Source organism: Homo sapiens, chromosome 5 (genome assembly GCF_000001405.40).
Source record: "Homo sapiens chromosome 5, GRCh38.p14 Primary Assembly".
Lineage (NCBI taxonomy): Eukaryota > Metazoa > Chordata > Mammalia > Primates > Hominidae > Homo > Homo sapiens.
The window spans coordinates 88205959-88228645 of record NC_000005.10 but is presented as its reverse complement, the minus strand read 5'-3'; the positions used below and the strand labels follow the sequence as shown (position 1 = coordinate 88228645).

At 34.9% G+C, this 22687-nt stretch overlaps 1 protein-coding gene across 23 annotated transcripts in view; it reads left to right on the top strand.

Moving 5' to 3' along the window:
* The window catches only part of TMEM161B (transmembrane protein 161B), an 83276-nt gene that overhangs the window by 40200 nt on the left and 20389 nt on the right, over positions 1–22687 (top strand). For 14 of the 23 annotated variants that reach the window (XR_002959844.2, XM_024454373.2, NM_001349407.2 and 11 more), the window contains 5 exons: positions 118–201; positions 2780–2877; positions 7927–8083; positions 21466–21617; positions 22147–22207. Coding sequence is in view for 21 of the 23 variants with exons in the window: in XM_024454373.2 (XP_024310141.1) it covers positions 118–201; positions 2780–2877; positions 7927–8083; positions 21466–21617; positions 22147–22207 (552 nt within the window). In the remaining 2 variants the exon portion in view is untranslated. Of the gene's footprint in view, positions 1–117; positions 202–2779; positions 2878–6885; positions 6973–7926; positions 8084–10742; positions 18000–21465; positions 21618–22146; positions 22208–22687 lie in introns of those variants that run through there. The other 9 variants (NM_001349403.2, NM_001349400.2, NM_001349405.2 and 6 more) reach the window with 7 other exon arrangements.

The window sequence follows — 22687 nt, the reverse complement described above, 5'->3', positions numbered from 1 at the left end:
ACCTGATATTTCTCGACAGTGTCTTCACAAATATGAAACTTAATAAATATTTATAGGATGAAGAATAATTCTGGTGATTTTAAGCGCTTTATTTAAAAGAATTCTTTTTTTGCTTAGTTTGAGGTGGTATCAACATCCTACAGAAGAAGAATTAAGAATTCTTGCAGGGAAACAACAAAAAGGGAAAACCAAAAAAGATAGGTAAGTTTTATTGAGCTTGTAAAGTAATAAATATTTAACACAATTTATATAAATACATTTTTATGCTTTGATTAAAGAAACATGTACCAATTATGTTGTAAGTAGTTGATAAATTTGAGATCAAAACCCATGAAAATCTAATCTGTAGTAATATATACACACAAAATAGTGATTATTTTACTCAAGAACTTTATTCTTTGTTTAAATCATGAAAACAATATAGCCATCATACTAAAGAAAATGTAATTGGGGGTTGACTGGGGAGAGACTTATAACCCATATCTTTATCCTACAACTAATTAAAGACGTCAGTTGGTTTGGGTTATTTTCCAGTTTTTGCTGCTACTGTGTATTGTGGCATTGGGGAAATTAACCTGCTCTTGGCCTCAGTTTCCTCATTTTATAATTAAAAGGGAGGGACAATATAACTGTGTAGGTCCCATCAGCTCCTGAATGTTCTTTTCATGTTTAAAGTTTATGAAGAGAACTACCTACTAATTGACCTCACAGAACAGACCATAGAAGCCTCATCTGTGACTTGGACAGAGTAAACAAAACAATGTTTTGAATAATCCTTCCAGCTTTAAGATTTTATATCTCTATTTAAATAGAATTCTTAGGGAAAGTGTATGTTAATTACCTCTCTGAATGGACCGTAGTTTTCTCAACTGGGGATCTAGGAGGACTTCTTAGGTCCCCTGTGACTCTGAAATGATTGATTGACAACAAATTATAACCATATTTCTCATGTATATCATAAAAATGCTAACCTAGCCTAATACATTTATAGAAGCTAAAAAATGATTAAACATTAATGATTATTTGGCATCAAATTGGAAATTTGAAAAGACTGTCTTTTTTGATCTTACTACCATCCTTTTTCACTTATCATTACAAATATACCTGGAAGCTCATTGGACTATTAATAGTAAACCTTCCTTCTTTTTATTCCAGTAGTTAAGTTCTTTAATAAAATAGTCCTGCCTAACATTATAGTTTCCAGAGCACTTTTATACACAGTTCTACTTAATCCACAAAACAACCGTGTTAGCTAATAATTTAATTTACACTTTACTAATGAGAAGCTAGGATCAGAGATGTTAAATGAGTTGCCCAAATTTACATAACTAGTAAGGTTACGTACTGGTAACCAGGATTTGAATCTAGGTTAGTTTTTAGTTTCTGTTTCTTTTTAACTATTCCCCTTCCACCCATTTATAGCTACTATGTTCAACATTTGTAAAATTTAGTTATGTAGAAAGAGTCTCACTCTGTCACTCAGGCCGAAGTGCAGTGGCACAATTCTGGCTCACTGTGGCTTCAACCTCCTTAGGCTCAAATGATCTTCCCACCTCAGCCTCACGAGTAGCTGAGACCAGATGCATGCAACACCATGCCCAGATGATCTTCCCACCTCAGCCTCCTGAGTAGCTGGGACCAGATGCATGCAACACCATACCCAGCTAGTTTTTAAAAAAAAAAATTTGTAGAGACAGGGTCTCCCGGTGTTACCCAGGCTGGTCTCTCCTGAGATTAAGCAATCCTCCTGCCTCGATCTTCCTGGCCTCTCAAAGTGTTGGAATTACAGGTGCGAGCCATTGCACCTGGCCTGAATCCTTATTATAATGCCTTGTAATGAATAATTCTGTTCTGCAGTAATTTTTAATAGGTTGAACATGCCTTATAGTTACAAAAAGATACATTAACATTGCTGCCTTGTTCCTAGTAACAAGAATTATTGTTTGGTTTATTAACATGAAATTATTTTTTACTGAGGCTTTCCAGTTTTTTATTCAAGGATAAATGCAAAGTTGTTTTTCAGTATTGAAATTAATATTATTAAAACTTAGTTGAAGCTGGCCATGGGGGTGTGTACCTGTAGTCCCAGCTACTCAGAGGCTGAAGCAGGAAAATTGTTTGAGCCCAGGAATTTGAGTCCAGCCTGGGCAACTGTGTGTCTAAAGAAATACATAAAGTAATAAATTGAAACCTTAGTTTATTGCTTTCTATATGTTTGTCTTTAAAAATTAAATTTGGGAATCATACAGATACACCGGAAGAATTTGTTTTCCTTCATCTGTGATTTTTAGTAAAAACTATTCCAAGTTAGTCTTTCATGTTTCTGAATTTCTCATACACGTAAATCTTTCTTCAACTCTGACTTGCATATGGTTCCGGGTCTGTTTATATGTATGTGTGTGTGTGTGTTTATACACGTCACTTCAAGGAGAAGTGCACTTTGTCTTCATTTGCATTTACTCTTGTGCCTAAAGAGAAAAGAGAGTAGGAGAAATGGGTGTGAAATGCTAAGCTAGAAAAAAAAAGATTTTGTTGCAGTAACTAATTTAGGTAATTATTTCCCTGGTAATCTGTATATTCACATGATAATTTACATTCAGATTTTATAGTACCCCTTTAAAAACTACCTTTGAGTACTTTACCTCCTTATTGATGAAATATTAGAAATTCTGCCTTTTCACTGTGAAATTTAAAACTTCATCTGTAATTAGTTTGAAACAAGCACTTGGATAACAGTGTAGGTAACTTGTTTTTTGTGTCACTTGTCTGATTTTTATAGGAAATATAATGGTCACATTGAAAGTAAGCCATTAACCATTCCAAAGGATATTGACCTTCATCTAGAAACAAAGTCAGTTACAGAAGTGGATACTTTAGGTAAGGGAAATCTTGATAAAATGTTCTATAAATCTCAGTTTTATATTATAGTAGTGAAAGTACTTTCATTTTAATCATTAAGTCCATTATAGAGAATATGGAATCTTTCTAAGAACTTAGAAGCTCAAATGACTTCATTTGAATTAAATTTATTTTTTTGTTCACCTAACTTGTATTATTTTTCCTATTTTCGGAAGAGGCTAACTTACACAAATTTATTACACAGTTTCTGTTTATTAGATTGAGGTCACAGTCAATTTTTATTATCTAGAATTCTAGACTTCCTTTTACTGTTTATTTCAGTCTGCCCTTTTCTAATGTGGCTTGCAAAACTGCATTTGAAATGTCCGGCCTTGAGCAGCCCAGGGGTTGGGGTGCCTACTTTTATGCAGTTGAAAAATCGAGTATGACGTATGACTTTTTACCCCCCATAACCTAACTACTAATAGCCTACTGCTAACCAGAAGACTTACCAATAACATAAAAAATCAACACATATTTTGGCTGGGCGCGGTGGCTCACGCCTGTAATCCCAGCACTTTGGGAGGCCAAGGCGGGCGGATCATGAGGTCAGGAGATCGAGACCATCCTGGCTAATGTGGTGAAACCCCGTCTCTACTAAAAATACAAAAAATTAGCCAGGCGTGGTGGCAGGCGCCTGTAGTCCCAGCTACTCAGGGAGCTGAGGCAGGAGAATGACGTGAACCCGGGAGGCGGAGGTTGCAGTGAGCCGAGATCGCACCACCGCACTCCAGCCTGGGCGACAGAGCGAGACTCCGTCTCAAAAAAAAAAAAAAAAAAAACAAAAACATATTTTGTGTGTTATGTGTATTATATACTGTGTTATAACAATAAAGTAAGCTAGAGAAAAGAAAATGTTATTAAGAAAATCACAAGGGAGAAAAAATATATTTCCTGTTAAGTGGAAGTGGATCATCATAAAAGTCTTCAACACTGTGATACTCACTTTCAGTAGGCTGAGGAGGAGAAGGAAGAAGAGGGGTTGGTCTTGCTGGTCAGGGGTGGCAGAGGTGGAAGAGAATCTGCATATAAGTAGACACGCACAGTTCAAACTGTATTGTTCAAGGATCAACTGCATTTCTATTGAATTACCCATATTTAGAGTAATTCAATTTTATTCTCACATATAGTAGAAAGGAAAATGGTTTTAGAATACTGAACTGGATTACAAATCAGAAAAATTTACTTATTCAGGATTTACTTTCATCCATTTATTTCCAAATAGGTCATTTAGTTTTCCTCCTATATATTATAGAAATGTAGTATCTCAATTTTTGTAATTATATAATGACAATGATTCTAGTTTAAAATAATATTAATATGAAATTATTTGAATCCTAGAAGGGAAAGGCATCTAAGTTGATAACAATTTAAAACACTGGTTTTTAAACTTGGGGATATATCAAAACCACTTGATGAGTTCTTTGAAATAGATTCCCTACTCCTATCCTTGAAGATTCAGTAAATCTAGAGTAGGTTTTAGGAATTTGTATTTTTAAAAGTGCTCCAAGTGATTTTGATTTTTGACTAGGTTTGAGAACCACTGGTTTATGTGATAAATGAAATGATGCGTGTTTTTAAAAAATAATTTTGATAATGTCATATAAGGTGTCATTATGTAATTTGACCCTTCTTGGGTTAAATCATACCACCATCAAAAAATCTTAAGAGGTCCAGCATCTCAAATAGGATTATTTTGTGATACAAAGTGGCTTCGAAATACGTGAAAGTTTATTATTACATCTGTAAAGGTTGTATGTATATGTAAAGCATGTCCTAGAACTAAAAAATATCAGTGAAGAACAATATAAATCACTTGTCTAATATGATTTAGACTGTTTTTTTTTTTTATTTTTTTTGAGATGGAGTCTCGCTCTGTCACCCAGGCTGGAGTGCAGTGGTGCTATCTTGGCTCACTGCAAGCTCCACCTCCCAGGTTCACGCCATTCTCCTGCCTCAGCCTCCTGAGTAGCTAGGACTACAGGCGCCTGCCACCACGCCTGGCTAATTTTTTTGTATTTTTTAGTGGAGACGGGGTTTCACCGTGTTAGCCAGGATGGTCTCAATCTCCTGACCTCGTGATCTGCCCGCCTCGGCCTCCCAAAGTGCTGAGATTACAGGCATGAGCCACTGCACCTGGCCCATTTAGACTTTTAAGACTGGTTATGTCTTCCTCTTTTTTCTTTTTAACTGTTTTACATTCAACATTTAAAACATTTAAAGGCACTTTGACTTTTTGATTAGTAGTTGTCACATTTGTTTCACTACTCCTATATGCGCTTACTTGTATAAAATGTTCATAGACGTGTATAAATACAAGAATATATAAACATTCTTCCTGATTTTTAGTAGTTTTGACATTTTTACTAATAATGTTTATTGAATACTTTGTCAGCTAATTAATAAGATCTTAAAATTATTGAGTATCAGACATTGTTATAATATTTTACTTGTATTACCCCATCTGCACAATTCTGAAGTGGGTAACTTACCAGTTTTTTTTTTTTCTTAACTCATTAGAAAGAAGAGTTGAATAACATGGACAGGGTTACACACTGAATGTGGTACAGCCATTTAGTGAGAACTAGGCTATTTCAACGAACTAAAAAAAAAAAATGAATTTAGGGTATTGTAGCTTTAGCATGTAGTTTATGGAGTATTTGGTTTCACTTTTAGGATTTTGAGAACTAGTTGCAAATGATACTCATTTATCAATTGGTCATGTAACATCAAGAGCATTTCCAGTTAACCAGAATAGCAGGGAGATGTTCATATATGTTTATAAGTTTTTGTAGTCATTTGTGAATGCATGTTGTATATATGTGATTAGGTGAAAGTATGGGGTTTTCTGTCTTAACTTCTTTTGACTTCAATATTTTATTAAAAGGCATATATATAATTGTATTATTGATTACACAAGGAATATAACACTTGAGTTAAATAGCCAAGAATATATATAATTTGTACTTTCATGGAATGTATATATTATTGATGTCCCAATAATTATCATGAAAGTCTGTCTTAATTTGTATTATCTATTATAAGAACCTCTTAAAGAACATTAGAACTTTTGAATGTCACTTCACTGTCTGCTATGAGTGAGTTACGTGGAAGAAGTCCCTATGAGTATGGGTAGGTTTGGAGAATTAGAATGCTTATTTCAATTATTGATAATAAAATTGAAAACCGTAAATGGATTTTGGTCTATCCTTTCCATCCACTTCCCTGACCTCCTTCCAGATGAAAGCCCAGTATGGGTGATTTTTTTTTTTCTTAGCAGGGGGAAGGGATTGAGGGTAAGCATCCTGTAACCACATCAGTATCTTTCAGGCTTATGTTCAGAAACTGTAGGTCAATCACAATAGAAAACCTAAAGCAGGGCTGGGGGCAGTGGCTCATGTCTGTAATCCCACCTCTTTTGGAGGCTGAGGCAGGAGGATGGCTTGAGCCCAGGAGTTTGAGACCAGCCTGGGCAATATAGTGAAACCACGTCTGTACAAAAAATTAAAAAATTACCCGAGTGTGGTGGTGTGCATCTGTAGTCCCAGTTACTAGGAAAGCTGAGGTGGGAAGATTGTTTGAGCCCGAGAAGCTGAGGCTGCAGTGAGCTATGATCACACCACTGCACTCTCAGAAAACCTAAAGCAGTTAACCTAAAAGTTAAAGTACGTTGAAGCAGATTAAGAATGTTAAAATAACTTGATGCAAATTTAAAAATTAATCATAATAGGATTTTGGAAAAATGTTATGATCATCTTATAGAAATGGTACAAAATTTGGTTAGTTTGTTTTGATACTACTTTTAATAGGTCTTACTGTATGTGATATTTTCAAAATACTTTTTCTATAAGGATATCGTATCTTCAAGTGTAATTGCATTATATTTCATGACTAAAAATTGTCCAAAGCAATGCAGATCATTTTATTATGTGCCATAAGAACATCTGAATTGATGGTTATGTACATGATTTACTTCCACATTTTTAGGAGGCCTTCTAAAAAATGATGTTGATGTTTTGGACTACACTCTGGTAGAAGTAAACCAGAATACCTATGCCACCTGAGATGCAAAGGGTGATGGAATTATATTTACTTTCAAAGAATGTTAATTTCAATGTAAACTCTTAAGAATGGAATAGTTTGTTGAAGGGGTATGGTTTTATAGAAAATCAACAGACATTTTATAAACTTTTTTGCAGAACAAAATAGGGTATAAGAGGTATATTTAGTTTATTATTTTATTTTTCTTGAGATGGAGTCTCTCTCTGTCACTCAGGTTGGAGTGCCATGGTGTGAACTCAGCTCACTGCAACCTCTGCCTCCCAGGTTCAAGCTATTCTCCTGCCTCGGCCTCCCAAGTAGCTGGGACTACAGGCACCTGCCACAATGCCCGGCTAATTTTTGTACTTTTAGTAGAAGCGGGATAGTCTTGAACTCCTGACCTCAGGTGATCCGCCAACCTTGGCCTCCCAAAGTGCTGGGATTACAGGCGTGAGCCACCGCGTCTGTTCTTGTTTATTATTTTAATCTGTAGTATCTCACAGAATTACTAGTTTACAATTAGTACAGCCAATAATTGTAACATAAAGTTAAACTCTTACTTCACAAAAGTGAACAGTATAACTAAATTGTTGTGTTCCAGACTAAGTTGTTTTCTGAAGTTAAGGTATCATAGCTAGATATTTAAAAGAAAATATTTACTAATAATTTCTGTAAAAAGTAGCTAATCAGTTAAGACAATACCAGTAAATTTGCAATCATACTTTACCAACAACTTAAATAACTTTTGGTAATCTTTTAACGTTTATTTTAATTTGTGAGGTATTAAAATTTAGTTTGGGATGCTAACATCCTCAGTCTATTTCTTGCATTTTTAGATTCATATATTTGTAAATCTTACATTGCAAATGAACAAATAAAGTCTAGCGTATTTTAATTATAAATAAATCCTCATAAGTTATTTATGAAAATGTAAGTGAAACTGTTTTTTTTGACCTTTTTTTTTTTTTTTTTTTTTTTTCTTTCCAGCATTGCATTACTTTCCAGAATACCAGTGGCTGGTGGATTTCACAGTGGCTGCTACAGTTGTGTATCTAGTAACTGAAGTCTACTACAATTTTATGAAGCCTACACAGGAAATGAATATCAGCTTAGTCTGGTGCCTACTTGTTTTGTCTTTTGCAATGTATCCTTCAAAACATCATTAATATTAATTTATTTTGCAGATAACACCATTAGATCTCATCTCTGATTTGAGAAAGATTTTATGTCATTAGATAACTTTTCTTTATTGAAATCTTTTTTATGTAATTGAAAATATTTTTCAAAGTAATAGAGGTAAATAATTTAAAAAGCTAAATATAAGAAAAATGCCAGTGCCCTGCTTTTTCTTATCCAAGTCTAATGTCACAGAGACAGCCACATTCACCTCTTTTAGGCATTTCTTTTGGGAATTCCTTCCTTGTGTTTAAATATTTTGTGATAATGTTACTATTTATATATTATTGCACCTTTCTCCCTCTTCCCTTTTCTTCCCTTCTTTCATTCTCCCAAAATAGTTAGAGATAACATTTTATTAAATTTATAGTCACTTTTACCATGTTGTGCCTATGAAAATATTATTTACAGCCAGGCATTATAGTGTATTATTACCTTCCTTAAATAATTTTTTATTTTTATAATTGTGGAAACTGTAAACTTCCACAGAATTGGTAGAACCTCAATAGTTCAGATACTTCATTTCTGTTTTTTTTTTTCCCATGGAAATATCCTCCTGGAGCCCTCAGTTTTCTAAACTTCCAGCATAGCTAATATCCTGTGACTTTCTTCACTGTCTTCCAAGAATTCCCTCTACCCCTGTCTAGATCTCATGATTTCCTCTTCCTTGGTTTATTCTTTTTCTTTTTTGCAGAGTGCAGAGTACATTCTCCTATGGTGTCCTTAGAAAGGGTGCTAAATTGTTTTTTGAAATCTTGCTTGCCTGGAATTATCTTTATTTTTTCCCTCATACTTGATAGATAGGTTGGCTCAGTAGAAAATTCTAAGAAAGAAATAGGTTTTCTTCAGAATTTTGAAGTCTCTTGAGAAATTGGATATCCTTTTGCTTTTCATGTATACCTATCCTTCGCCTTGTACATAAACCCTCTGGAAGCTTTTTTCTTTTTATTCTTCTGGTTTCTGACATTTTATCCTTGTGCTAAGTTCTAGATTTACCCTTTAAATCTGAAAACTCATGTCTTTTACTACTGGGAGATATTTTTGTTTTCTTATTTTTATTAAAATTATATATGTTCCCTACTCTTTTCTCTATTTCCATCTCTCCAGAGGCAACTTCTTCTTGCTCTTCTCTGTTTCATGCTTACTTTTATATTTCTATGTACTTTCAAGGCCATTCCTTGATTTTAGTTTTAAGCTTTAACTATTGCCATTTCACTTTGGAAATAAGGATTAAGCACGTATCTTTGGGCTGGCAGTTAGCCACTGATCAGTTTCTATTCATTTCATCTTCCACATATAGTGATGTCATGTTTTTAGAACAGTATTCAGTGTTTATGTTATGATCATGTAAACACCATTCACAGATGAATACTTGCCTTAATATATTCAGAAGTATCAAGTAATATGTCAATTTCATCTTGAGTAGAGTTTTCCTCCTGGAACCCTCAGATAAGCCCCAGTCTAGATTGGTTGACCTTCCCACCTGATGTGCACCTATGCCCCTGGTATCACTGATTGTCATCTTCTTAGAGATTCTCTTTGCATCTCCCTCAAATTGGAGCTCTTTTTAAAGATATTCTATGTCTGCCTCCTACTTGGTTTACTTTCCGATTTTGGCAGAGCATATTCTCCAGTATCATCTTCAAAAAGGTTGCATGGGAACTACATTTTTTGTGACCTTGCGCTTTTGAAAATATTTTAAATTTACCCTAAGAATTAATTTTTCCTTTGGCTGAGAATAGAATTCCAGGCCGAAAATTATGTTTTTGTCTTTGAAGTTCCATTCTTACTCTTAAGAACTGCAGCTGCCAATCCAATTTCTGATTTATTTTCTTTTTCTTTTGAGACAGGGTCTCACTCTGTTGCCTAGGCTGGAGTGCAGTGGTGCAATCACATCTCTCTTTATTTTCTGTAGAGACAGGGTCTCCCCAGCTTGCCCAGGCTGGTGTCAACTCCTGGCCTCCAGGTTCCTGCCTTGGCCTTCCAGAGTGCTGAGATTACAGGTGTAAGCCATTGCGCCCAGCCATCTGATTTTTTTTTAAAGTTCTGTTTTTTTCTCTGCATTATCGTTACCATCTTTTTTTACCTAGCCACCTAGTGTGTTGAAATTTTATGATGATGTGCCTTATTTAGGGTCTGTTTTCATCCCCTGTGTTGGGACTTTACCAGTCTGTGAACTGATGTTCTTGAGTTCTAGAAAATTGTTTTGAATTATTTTATTCGTGTCTACAGCCATACCACTCTGGACACACCGAATCTCATCTGAATTATTTTATTGGTGATTTTTCCCTTCTCTATTTTCTCTCTTTCTGGAATGCTTATTATTCAGATATTCGATCTCCTCAACTGGTTTCCCAAGAATGTCATCCTCTTTCTTGCATGCTTGAAAGAAATATGTTTATATTTTTATATTATTTGGTTTTCTGGGAAATTTTCTTAAGTTTCTTAATCTTTTATTGAGTTTATTATTTTGAATTTCTGATATAATTTTTAATTTTCACAACCTCTTTTTCTTCTGTTCACCTGCCCCTTTGATGGAATTCTGCTCGTTTTATGATTACATTATCTTCCCGTGTCTATTTAAGATATTAATGATAGATTTTGTTAAGGTTTTTTTTTTTTTTTCTGCCTAGTATCTTTTTACTCTGAGTTGCTTGTGTTTGGTTGCTGTCTTTCACATCACAGGCTTTTCTTAGAGAGCTCTAGTGATTGGTGTTTGCCTGTCCATAATTAAGTGTGAGACATTAAAAATCTGAAGGGAAGCTTTGAGCACATGGTGAGGTAAGTTGCTGAATCATATGGGTAGGCCAGAGATTATCTTTTTACCCTCTCCAAAGCATAAATCTCCATACTTGCTTCAGATGTGGGCAGATTGAACTGGTTACTTTTAAAAAGTACTAATTTCATTAGTACTTATTTCTAATACCTCCTATTATTACCCCCCACCACCCCCTCGCCCACCGCTGCCGCCACCACCACACACACATTCAGTAACCAGCACTTTTACCCTAGTGTAGAGAATTATTTGTCATCTAACCAATTCCTTATCCTTTTGGGGAGTTTTGCAGTAAAAAGTCAAATTTCTTCTCAGCTGTCCAATTGAGGTTCCTCATTCTGTTGAGTCTGCTTTCTAGCTCCCACAATTTTATTGCTTTTTCTCTTACTTCATTTATGTTCCTTAAAGCCAGATTCCTTTACCATCATTTTGGTGGGATTTAGGAAGAGATAAAAAGTAACTGATTTGCTTAATCTGTCTTTAAAAAAATTTTTTTTAGAGACAGAGTCTTGCTCTGTTGCCCAGGCTGTAGTGCAGTGGTATGATCATAGTTCACTGCAGCCTCTAACTCCTGAGCTCAAATGTTTCTCCCACCCCAGCCCTCCGAGTAGCTGAGAGTTACAGGCACGTGCCACCACAACTGGCTAGATCTGGGAAGTCTTAATAACTGCAGTACAGACTTTTAATCTTATTTTATCCATTCATCAACCCTGTATTTGAAGGTACCTCATGTCTACAGTACTTTTCCCAGGTTTCTGATGAATGAATTGGCTTTCTTCTTACTGACTTCCTCCCCTTGCAGATCAAGTATAGCAGAAAAAGCTGAAACCTAATTGCTTTTCTATCCACTTAACATCTTCCAAAATTTTGTTGATATTTATTTATTTACTTACTTACTAATTGTTGTCTCTTTTTCTATTATCTGTTCTTGAGGTTTTTGACTTTTTTATGTGCCTTAGTCAGATTGTGAGAATGAGCAGAGGAAATGCATGTCTTACATCTTAATATTTAACCGGAGACTGTGGCACCATCTTTTAAACCTGTTAAGTGGATACCATTTAAAATCTATGATATAATTTGACAGTTCATCACCAGGTACTACCTTTCCGTTGCCTCTTTTGGATTGATTTAGGTATAGTTTAGACTAGAAGAGCCAGAACAAAGTCTTAAGAGTCAATATCCTCACAAAGTATGTAGTGTACTGGATAGAAATACTAATCATGTGTCAGCTGAGAAACATCTGAGATATCCAGTGTTGCACTAACTCCAAGAGCAGATTTTAAATTCAAGCACATAAAATATTCCTGTTTAATTCTGTAGTATTAAATATGTGAAAATACCATTCAATCAGAATAAAGACCTATCCCTCGACATCAAGTCATATAAAACACATCAAAAATATTTTCCCGTGATAATTAGCATGAGCTGATTATATGTCATGTTACTTTTTTTTAGATTTCAGTGAGTTATCATGTTCTCCAAAATATTGCCTTTTCTTTTTTTTCCCCAGAGACAAGGTCTCACTCTGTCACCCAAGTTGTTGTGCAGTTGCACAGTCCTAACTCACTGTATCCTTGAGCTCCTGGGCTCAAGTGATCCTCCTGCCTCAGCCTCCAGAGCAGCTAGGACTGCAGTTTCACCCAGCTAATTTTTAATTTTTATAGAGATGGGGTCTCACTATGCTGTCCAGGCTAATCTTAAACTCCTGGCCTCAAGCCATCCTTCTGTCTCGGCTTCCCAAAACACTAGGATTACAGGCATGAGTCTTTGTGCCCTGCCAGTATTGCTTATTATTGAATATTCTTTTCCTCACTTTCTTCATGGTTTACACATATGTGGGAATACATATACTTGATATGCAGTTTTATTTTAATGTGATTGAGCCCTTGATACATATGTACCAGAGAAATTAGAAAAATATACTTTTTAATAGCTATTCATATTGTTTATGTGAGTAAATTTTATCTTTCATTTTACTCTATAATGCCTAATAATGTGGGAGCAAAGGTCCCACACAGCCTTTAGCACTGAACTGACTTTGCTTCGTTTTAAGTAATCCATTCCTGAAAGGCATCAAACAGTAACATCTCTGCAGGAATCCTGTAGCTCGCTGGCTGTCTCCCTATCCCAGAGAGGACAGAAAGTTCTGAAGAGCTTACAGGCCAAGCTACTTTCTGCCAGCTTTGATTCTCCAAAAAGAGGGTGGGGAAGAAGGCAGTAAAATTGTGTGTATGCTTGAGTATGTGATTTTTTTTTTGTTCAAACCTGTAGCATGTGATAAAGTTACCTACCACCTTTAAAGGCATATAGGAGACCAGAATTAAATTCCAGATATCCAGTTTAACACCAGAGAGAAATAAGTTTACATCCTATCTTTTATCTTTAGTTATAACATAACCTGTTTTTCCTTTCATACCCTATGATTGGAATATAGCAGAAGTAACCCCTGTCTGGCTTCTCTTTGTTTTCTTATTGTATGTGCCTACTTAGTAGTCAAACACGTGTCTGCATTGATTACACAGGACAATAGCTTTGCTTGATTCCATAGTCATACATACCTCAGTTAATTCAGAAATTCTCTGCAGTTGTTACTGATGAAATGTTCCTTGTTAAAATGGTCCCCAAATTAGACACATAAAACTTTAAAAATCAGTTCACTTAAAAGGAAGCAAAGTATTTAACTTCCATGGTCATTTTGTTGTCTTTCCCCCCTCACTGATATGTGACATACATAAGACAGCAAATTATGCTTTCTACAGAATCTTAAAAGTTCTAAAAGCACAGGAATGACTTTTTAAAATTTGTGACACTAAAACCTTGAACCCTGAAACCTAGAACTGAGTCTTCTCTTGTCATCAGCTCTGCTTTCTGCTTCACCTGAGTTGTTCATGCATCTCAGCCATCACAGCTGCTTTCAATCTCACTCCTAAACCCAAACTAATTCTCAGCTCTACTCTTCTTTCTTTCTCATTTGTAATTCTAACCATCTTCTCTGACCAAGTCTGTGTGTTCCACTTCCATTTATGCCAAGTTACATGTTATGGGGAAGGAGAAAGGTAAAGAAACCCTTGCAATGAGGATGGAGTATTTCTAGTAAATGTCTTTCCTGTATGATGGCCCATGAAGTCTTAGAGTTGCTGTAGGCGTGTGTACTGGTTTTATGGATATGAAGTGTATCATTTTTGCTTATGAAAAAATGAAAAGTAAAAAGGTAAAAATGTTGCTTGCAAAGCCAGAGGTCCTTTGGTGGAAGTAAAACTTTAAAAAATGAAAATATTTTACAATGTATAGTTTTTTTTTTTCCCAAGAATCTTTCTTAGAAATAAGCTGTAGCACAGAGAGTAATACTGAGTCAATTATGTGAATTTGAGTGAGAAGAAAGCTATTCTACAAAGAGTGATAAAGCTTCTCAGTAGTCCTATTATATTTGGTTAAAGGCCTGGATCATTAGTCACATTTCCACAGTGCTTGTATTTTACAATGTGGAGGTTTAAGGTACAAAACCCTATTATGTATGTTTTCATGGCTGTGTTAAAATTTTAATTTTCTTTCGTTGCCAGGCATACAAATTTTATACAAAGCTAAAAGCTGTGACTAGTTTAAGTTAAAATAAATTTTAAGGTTTTCTGGTTTAATAATCAGTTCTATATGTAGATTTGTTTATTAAAAGTCTACAAATGTTGTTTTTATTTGCTGTGGGAAATAAACAACTACAACAAACTAGTACAACTTAGTCACCATTTCTAAATTCCTTCAAAGGCTTTAACTATATTCTTTTATTTACAAAAATGTTCTGCTTTAGATTAATAAGGAAAAGCAAAACATTATACCCTGAAGTAAACTGCATAAGATTTCAGTTCTAGTGAGAAAAGGAATGAAACTCAGAGTTATTGAATCTGAGCCAAGGTACTTGTTTTATCTTGAAAAGTTGTATATGTCATGTTATGTCAACGCTTGTTTGTTGTATGAACATGGAGATTTTTTTGTGACATTAATGCTGTCATATTACTCAGATTTCAAGACAAAAATCTAGAGTTAAATAGAGATTTGGGGTAATAGGACATTATTTCTGTTTATTAATTTATAATTGAGTCTGACTTTGCTCTTTTAGCTGCAAAGTGATAATTTTTTTTCTGAAACTGAAATTTTGTTCTGAAAATAAAAATTTTTCTGAAAATAAAAGATAGTTTTCTTTTGTATTTTAAATAAAGGTTGTATATTATGCTTTCAGAAATTTTTGGCTATTCTCTTCACAGTCTGGTTAGGTTGAGGCTGGCTGAAAGCTTTTTTTGTGGAATGGCGTTTTAAACAGGCACGATAGTTTTTTGCTTATATCTAAGGGAATTTTAGGTTCTTTTTCTCTGTAATTAAAGTAATGGAAACTGCATATCTAAGAAAGTATGAAAAATATTTTAGTTTAAAATTATTTTTGTTAAAAAATTTTTTTTAACATTGGAAGATAGGATCAGATTATTTTTAAGACTTTTACTTAATAGGTCATTAGGATTAATGTACTTATTTTTAGTTTTCAGTGTATATCTGTAATAAGTTCTTGGTACAGTTTCTAGGTTTCTTTGCAATGTAGAATGTGAAGTATAATATATTTTGAGTATTTTAGTTGCCTTTTCTTATGGAAAAACAGAGGTGGAAGATTTAATTATTTGAATAGAAAAACATTAGGGATTTTATTTAGTAGCAGTGATCAGAAAAACAATAGAATCTTTTTTCACAGAATAGAAAAACTCAGTTTATATAAAAATCACTTAGTTGAGTGGAAATGTGATCTATTTTAAAGAGATAATCATAAATTTGTGAAAGTTTTTTGAGAAATCTCTATGTTTATTCCTTAGGATACTATTTATCATACTTGTGTATTAGCAACAAAATATTTCTTCTTGGAATATGGTCTATTTCTTCTCAAAAGAGCATTGAGATAATCTCGCTCCATCGCCCAGGCTGGAGTGAAGTCATGGTCTTGACTCGTTGCAGCCTCAGCCTCCTGGATTCAAGTGATTCTTGTGCCTCAGCCACCTGAGTAGCTGGGACTATAGGCACGTGCCACCAAGCCTGGCTAATTTTTTGTATTTTTGGTAGAGATGGTGTTTCACCATGTTGCCCAGGCTGGTCATGAATTCCTGAGCTCAGGCAATTTGCTCACCTTGACCTCACAAGGTGCTAGGATTACAGGTGTGAGCCGCTGGACCCAGCCCATAATAGTACTTTTATAAGTGTATGTTATTTAATTAAGTTGTTATTCTAAATCTGAGAGAAATTTGCCATTTTAGACCTAAAACTTGAACCTGTTCATCATTTGGAAGCTTATCTTCAGCTTGAAGGTAAAAATATTTAAAATACTTCCTCCTGAGGAAATTGTCCTACTTGTCCTTGACTTTTCTTTCCTATTAGAATTTAGTGTCTTTCTTTCTTGATTTGTCAAAATGTTTTGGTGGCGCTTTCTGCTAAAGCATGAATGTGGGGTAGGTAACTATTTTTAGACTTTGCAGTTTTGAAAGTGTTTTAATTTTATACTCTTTCTGTTGGCATTTGGTTGGTTATAGAATTCTAGGTTATCCATATTTTTCTTCATAATTTTGAAGGCATTGCTCCATTGTCCTCAACCTTGAAAATTGCTATTAAGAATTACTTATCATGGTGATATTTAATCTTTTGCATATACCTAGTTTTGCTTTATTTTTCTTCTGAGGAAACTTTTACAGTTGTCTCTTGATTTGTCTTGTTTCTGAAAGTTCATGCTCATGTACCTCATGAGGATCTTTTTTACTTCCTTGTGGTGGGCTTTTGGTAGGCTCTTTAATTTGGAAACATCAAGTTTAGAAAATTTCTTTGATTATGTCTTTGAGAATTTCTTCTGTCCGTCCCTCCACTCCCATTTTCTTTCTCTGTCTCACTTTCATTAGTCAGATATTGTATGTTCTGGATTAACCTCTCATCATCAGTTTTTGTCTTACTTTTTTTTTTTTTTTTTGGATGGAGTTCTGCTCTGTTACCAGGCTGGCATGCAGTGGTGCGATCTCGGCTCACTGCAACCTCCATCTCCTGGATTCAAGCAATTCTCCTTCCTCAGCTTCCCGAGTTAGCTGGGATTACAGGCGCCCGCCGCCGCGCCCGCCGCCACGCCCGGCTAATTTTTATATTTTCAGTAGATGGGATTTCGCCATGTTGGCCAGGCTGGTCTCAAACTCCTGACCTCAGGTGATCTGCCCACCTCAGCCTCCCAAAGTGCTGGGATTACAGGTGTGAGCCACCACGCCCGGTCTTGTCTTACTTTTCATTTTGTCTTTTTGTTCTGCTTGATGGAACTTTTGACTTTTTTTTTTCTTATTTTTCCTGTCCTGTTTCTCGTTGATGTCTAACCATTCATTTTTCATAGCATCCTGATCTTATTTCAAAGATGCATTCATCTTTGTCTAGCTTTATGAAATATGCATATCCTATGTTTATAAATATCTCTAAATAAAAATATGTATGTATCTGTTTCTGTATGTATAGTTATATACCCAAACTTCATTCTGCTGTGTCTGTCATCTCTTTTTTTCTTGAAGTTACTTTTTTTCTGTTGCAGATTTTAGCTCGTATTTTTTTTATAAGATGTGATACTCTAATACATCTTATTCGATGTATTAGATACATCTAATAATAGTTGCCTAACTATGGCTTGCAGTATCTGGGTTGCAGCCTGTTTTTGTACAGCTCTTGAGCTAAGATGGCTTTTTAACATTATTAAAGGATTAGGGGAACAAAGTAGGCAGAAGAATATGCTACAGAGACTGCATATGGACCACAAAGCCTGAAGTATTTACTATCTGGTCTTTCATAGAAAATGTTTTCCGATTCCTTTTTTAATGTCTGAGGATTCCTTTCATTTTTAAGAGATGGCCTCTAAAAGCTGATTGGAAGCTCTGTATGTAATTAGGGCTTGGTTAGTTTCACTAAAGAATAGCTTGATAATACTAAAACCAGCTTTATTTTAGGTAGCCCATAGTGTCATTGTTTATTGGTCTTTTCCTTGAGGCCTTTCAGTTTCTCTAGAGGAGAATCTCTTAATCTCCTGCCTGGAGTGTACAAAACTGCTACACATGTTTCCAAGGTGAGTACTACCTTTGACTGTGTAGACTTTCACCTAATCATCCTGTTTTTGATGCAGTTGACTAAATCTAAACTCTTCTGTGCCTCAGGTTCAGTTTCTTCAGAGGCAAAAATCTTAGTCTTCTGCTGGAGTCAGAGTGGCCTGGCTGCATAGAAAGGCAATCAGAGTGGAGAGTTGTGAGTCTAGTTGCCACCTACATAGAAGTCAGTGCACAGCACATCACTGCCTGTATACTTCTTAATCTTGTACCTCTTAAAATAAATTATCATAGAATTTTAAAAATTTAAACACAATCAGGAATGGTATCATTATCTGTTTGTATTGTATTGATCCATATGTTTTTGTATACATTCCCATATTTTTGGTATTACATGTTAAATATTTAATTCAGTTGTCTAGAAAACATTAAGTTGTTGCTGAGAACTAGGAAGACTTAATCTTTGCTTTTCAAAATAGCCCTGTGAGGTTGTGGACTGGCGGCATTTTACAAATGAAGAAACTAAGACACAGAGAAATTAATTTTCAAGTGGAAGATCACATAGTTTAGTAAGAGTAGAACCAGGATTAAGCCAGACACTCTAGGTCTAGAGAATGCTTTCTTTACAACTTTGTCACACTATAGTTTAAGATAGTATATGATTACATGGCGAGTGAATTATATTAGTAAGTGATACAATAAGTTCAAAAGAGGAAAAGAATGGCCTCAGCTGGGAAGGTAATGTTAAGTATCATGAAAGATATGGAGCTTTTGTTGAGTCTTGGATTGGGTAGGAGGAGGGAAGAGTTCAGATGATAGATTATGATCCAAGACAGTGTAGTGATGACACTCAGGAGATGGCAAGTACACTATTCTGATTGAGGTGGAGATTTGGGGACTATTGAATGAAAGCTTGAACATGTGAGTGTGGCCAGATCATAGTATTACATACGGGTTATTGGGAGATGGTGTTCTAATGTGGAACTCAATAAATAATTAGGTTTTTAAGATTTATCCAGTATGCAATATGAAGTGAGGATGCAGTGATTATACCATTTTAGGCATTTGTGGTGTGGGACTGTAAAGTATTAGTGATAAGTGCAAGATCATGCTTCATGTCTGGATCAGATTGCATGTAATTTTGTTTTCCTTTAGTGTTGACATATTTTGTAATTTCATTATTCTAGGATAACAAAGTGTGGTGGTAGGTGTAATTTTTGGGAAATTTTATTCTGATGATTTGGTACCACTTTTGGCCAAAGATACTATTTTGTTTTTCAGTGTAAGAAAAGAAGTTGGAAATTGTCTCCTTATAGATTCTAGTAAACATTTTCAGTAAAAATAAAGCAGTGTTTTTCAAACCTGAGTTTAAGGCATTTAGGCTATGAGAGATCATAGCTGTATCTTAAAAGCAGTTCAGTTGTAGTTTTGCAGTTTGACTATATTCATCTTTCTTTGTCCTCTTCTAATATGTAAGCTCTTCCTTATAATGCCAAGAAAGAGATGGATGGACCTGTATTGTTTGATACAGGTTGAGCATTACAATCCAAAATCCGAAATGCTCCAAAATCCAAAACTTTTCCAGTACTGACATAACACCAGAAGTAGAAGACTTTACACTGGGCCTCATGTGAGAGATTGCAGTTAAAATGCAGTCAAAATTTTTTTCATGCACAAAATTATTAAATATGTTGTATAAAATTACCTTCAGACTATGTGTGTGAGATATATATGAAAGGATTCTTCTGATTATGAGAATGTTTTAATTCTTTACTTCTGTCAGGGCAGTTCTGTTTTGAAAAGATTTTATGTGTTACTGCTAAAAGTACCACATTGACTTAGGTGCTATGTACAGTGTTTTAGAGGCAATGTAATCAATAGTTACGTGCACAGATTCTAGATCCAGACTGTCTAGTTTTAAATCTCAACTTTCTCTAATCTAGCTGTGATTTTGATATTTTTACTTTTACCTCTCTGCCACAGTTGTTGTTTTTTTGTTGCTGCTGTTGTTTGTTTTTTGTTTTCCTGAGACGGAGTTTCACTCTTGTTGCCCAGACTGGAGTGCAGTGGTGCTATCTCGGCTCACTGCAACCTCCGCCTCCCAGGTTCAAGCGATTCTCCTGCCTCAGCCTCCCGAGTACCTGGGATTGCAGGCGTGTGCCACCATGCCCGGCTAATTTTTTTTTTGGAGACGGAGTCTCACTGTGTCACCCAGGCTGGAGTGCAGTGGCGCGATCTCAGCTCACTGCAAGCTCCGCCTCCCGGGTTCACGCCATTCTGCTGCCACAGCCTCCCTAGTAGCTATGACTACAGGCGCCCGCCCCCATGCCCAGCTAGTTTTTGTATTTTTAGTAGAGACGGGGTTTCATCATGTTAGCCAGCATGGTCTCGATCTCCTGACCTCGTGATCCAGCCGCCTCGGCCTCCCAAGGTGCTGGGATCACAGGCGTGAGCCACCACGCCCGGCAATTTTTGTATTTTAAGTAGAGACGGGGTTTCGCCGTGTTGGCCAGGCTGGTCTCATACTCCTGACTTCAGGTGATCCGCCGGCTTAGACCTCCCAAAGTGCTGGGATTACAGACGTGAGCCACTGCGCCCGGCCCACAGTTGTTTTTTGTTTGTTTGTTTGTTTGTTTAAGTTTTTTAAAATGTCTGTAAAGTAGCAATAATAATGTGGTTAGTGTGAGAATTAAAAGTTAATTGGTAATGCCCGGCATATGGCAAGTACTAAGTGATAGCTGTTAATTTTCCATGCTTGACATAAACTTTACGTAAAGGTTACTTTTCTAGGTTTGTTTGCCAAGCACCTTAGTTTGTTTTGCGATTTCAAGGAGAACAATTTGGTGTATAATGGAAATCTGAGTTCTATCTTTGGGCCATGCACTGATTTAACCTTGATTAAATCAATTTGTGTGTGTTGGGGTGGTTCAGATAAGATAATCTCTTCAGCCTATTTTAATAGGTGAACATGTTGAAACTTTTGCTGTTTTTGAATACTCAGTTGGAACTTGTTTTCTCTAAAGATTTTTTCTTATTACTAATGTGAAGTGGTGACCCCAGACACTTAGTTTTCATACCACAGATCAACAATAGCTACTAGTAAAATTCTCAAATTTTAACTTGTTGAATTATTACGGAGGATTCCTGTGTTATGTGTTTAATTATAAATGTAAACTGGTTTAACAGACATGCCTAATAAAGACAGTTCTCTAGAATAACCTCTACCCTGGCTTTTCATGTCACTGAGAACATACTGCATAAAAATCTTGAAATAACCTTCTAGTAAAATTTGAGTGAGATAAACTAGAAATACATTCCCTAGCTACAACTTAGTATATGGGTGCTCTTTTCCTTAATTTAAAAGTGTTTTAAACTCCACTTGGAAATAAATGTTGTAGTCAAATTTTATTGCAATCAAGTCCTATAAAGATCATTGTGTATAGCTCCTATAAATTTATTGTGGTTTTTCCTGAACTTTTCCTTCTGCAGCAAAGTTCTATTTTCATTAACTACACACTATTTTAAAGTAGAAGATGGTGGTGAAAGATCTGTTTGTGTCACCTTTGGATTTTTTTTCTTTGTCAAAGCAATGGCAGTGTTGATTGTAACAGAAAATTATCTGGAATTTGGACTTGAAACAGGTAATAGTTTCATACAACTTTAAAAATCAATTTTGCTTTATCTAGTGTTAATATTTTTGACTTCAGTATTTAAGTTTTATGTCTGATAAATATCTAAAATTAAATTTAAAGTGTATACTCTGTAATGTTCAAAATAATTAACCTTTATTATTAAGATCTTCATTTTTTGCTTTTGTTTTAGCTAAGTTTTTAATTAATGTTTTTTTCCAAAAATACTGTCTCGTTTTTTTCCTTACAGTTAAATAAGTTTCTGTAATGCTAAAGTTTACTCTTATAGTTGAAGAATTAATGCAAATTTTATGCACACTCATGGAATGTACAAATATCAAAGGGACGTTTTCAAAGACTGTTCCTGCTAATAACCAAATTTTATTGCATTATGGCATACTAATTAACACATGAAAGAGCTAAGCTAGTCACTTCAAAATTTAAGATGCTCTGTTTTCTAACATTTTATTTCCATGGAAAGATTCTGTATTTCACATTTGTGATAAGAGTAATCTGTTGTTTTTTTTTTTTTCCCCCACAGGGTTTACAAATTTTTCAGACAGTGCGATGCAGTTTCTTGAAAAGCAAGGTTTAGAATCTCAGTAAGTTTTTGAAAAATTAAGCATTATTTAAATTTAACCTTTTCTATTTTTAATAAAGCAGTATTTACTATAAATAGCTGTTTTAAATTAGTAAAGAGTTTTAAGTTGGACTGTCACTTCTAGAAACATCCTTACTCATAATTTTTATGACTATATAAAGTTAGTGTCTTTTATAGAATTCTTATGTAAATTTGCATTTCTTAAATTCCTCTCCCTCAAGAGATTAAATTTATATCCAAGTTATATGTCAATTCCCTGTTGAATGTGTAGGTTAGGTTGCTGTGACTATGACTAAAGAGATGCCTCATTTAGTTTACAGTTCACCAGAATCCATTATAGGTACTTGAATAATAGCAATCTTTTTGTAGAAATTTGCTTTGTTTTACTGTTATTGTTATTTGTAAGATAATTGATTAGAAGAAAAGAAATTCTTCAAAAGCTAATTATAAAAATTTATCAGCTTTTTAAAAAATTTTATTT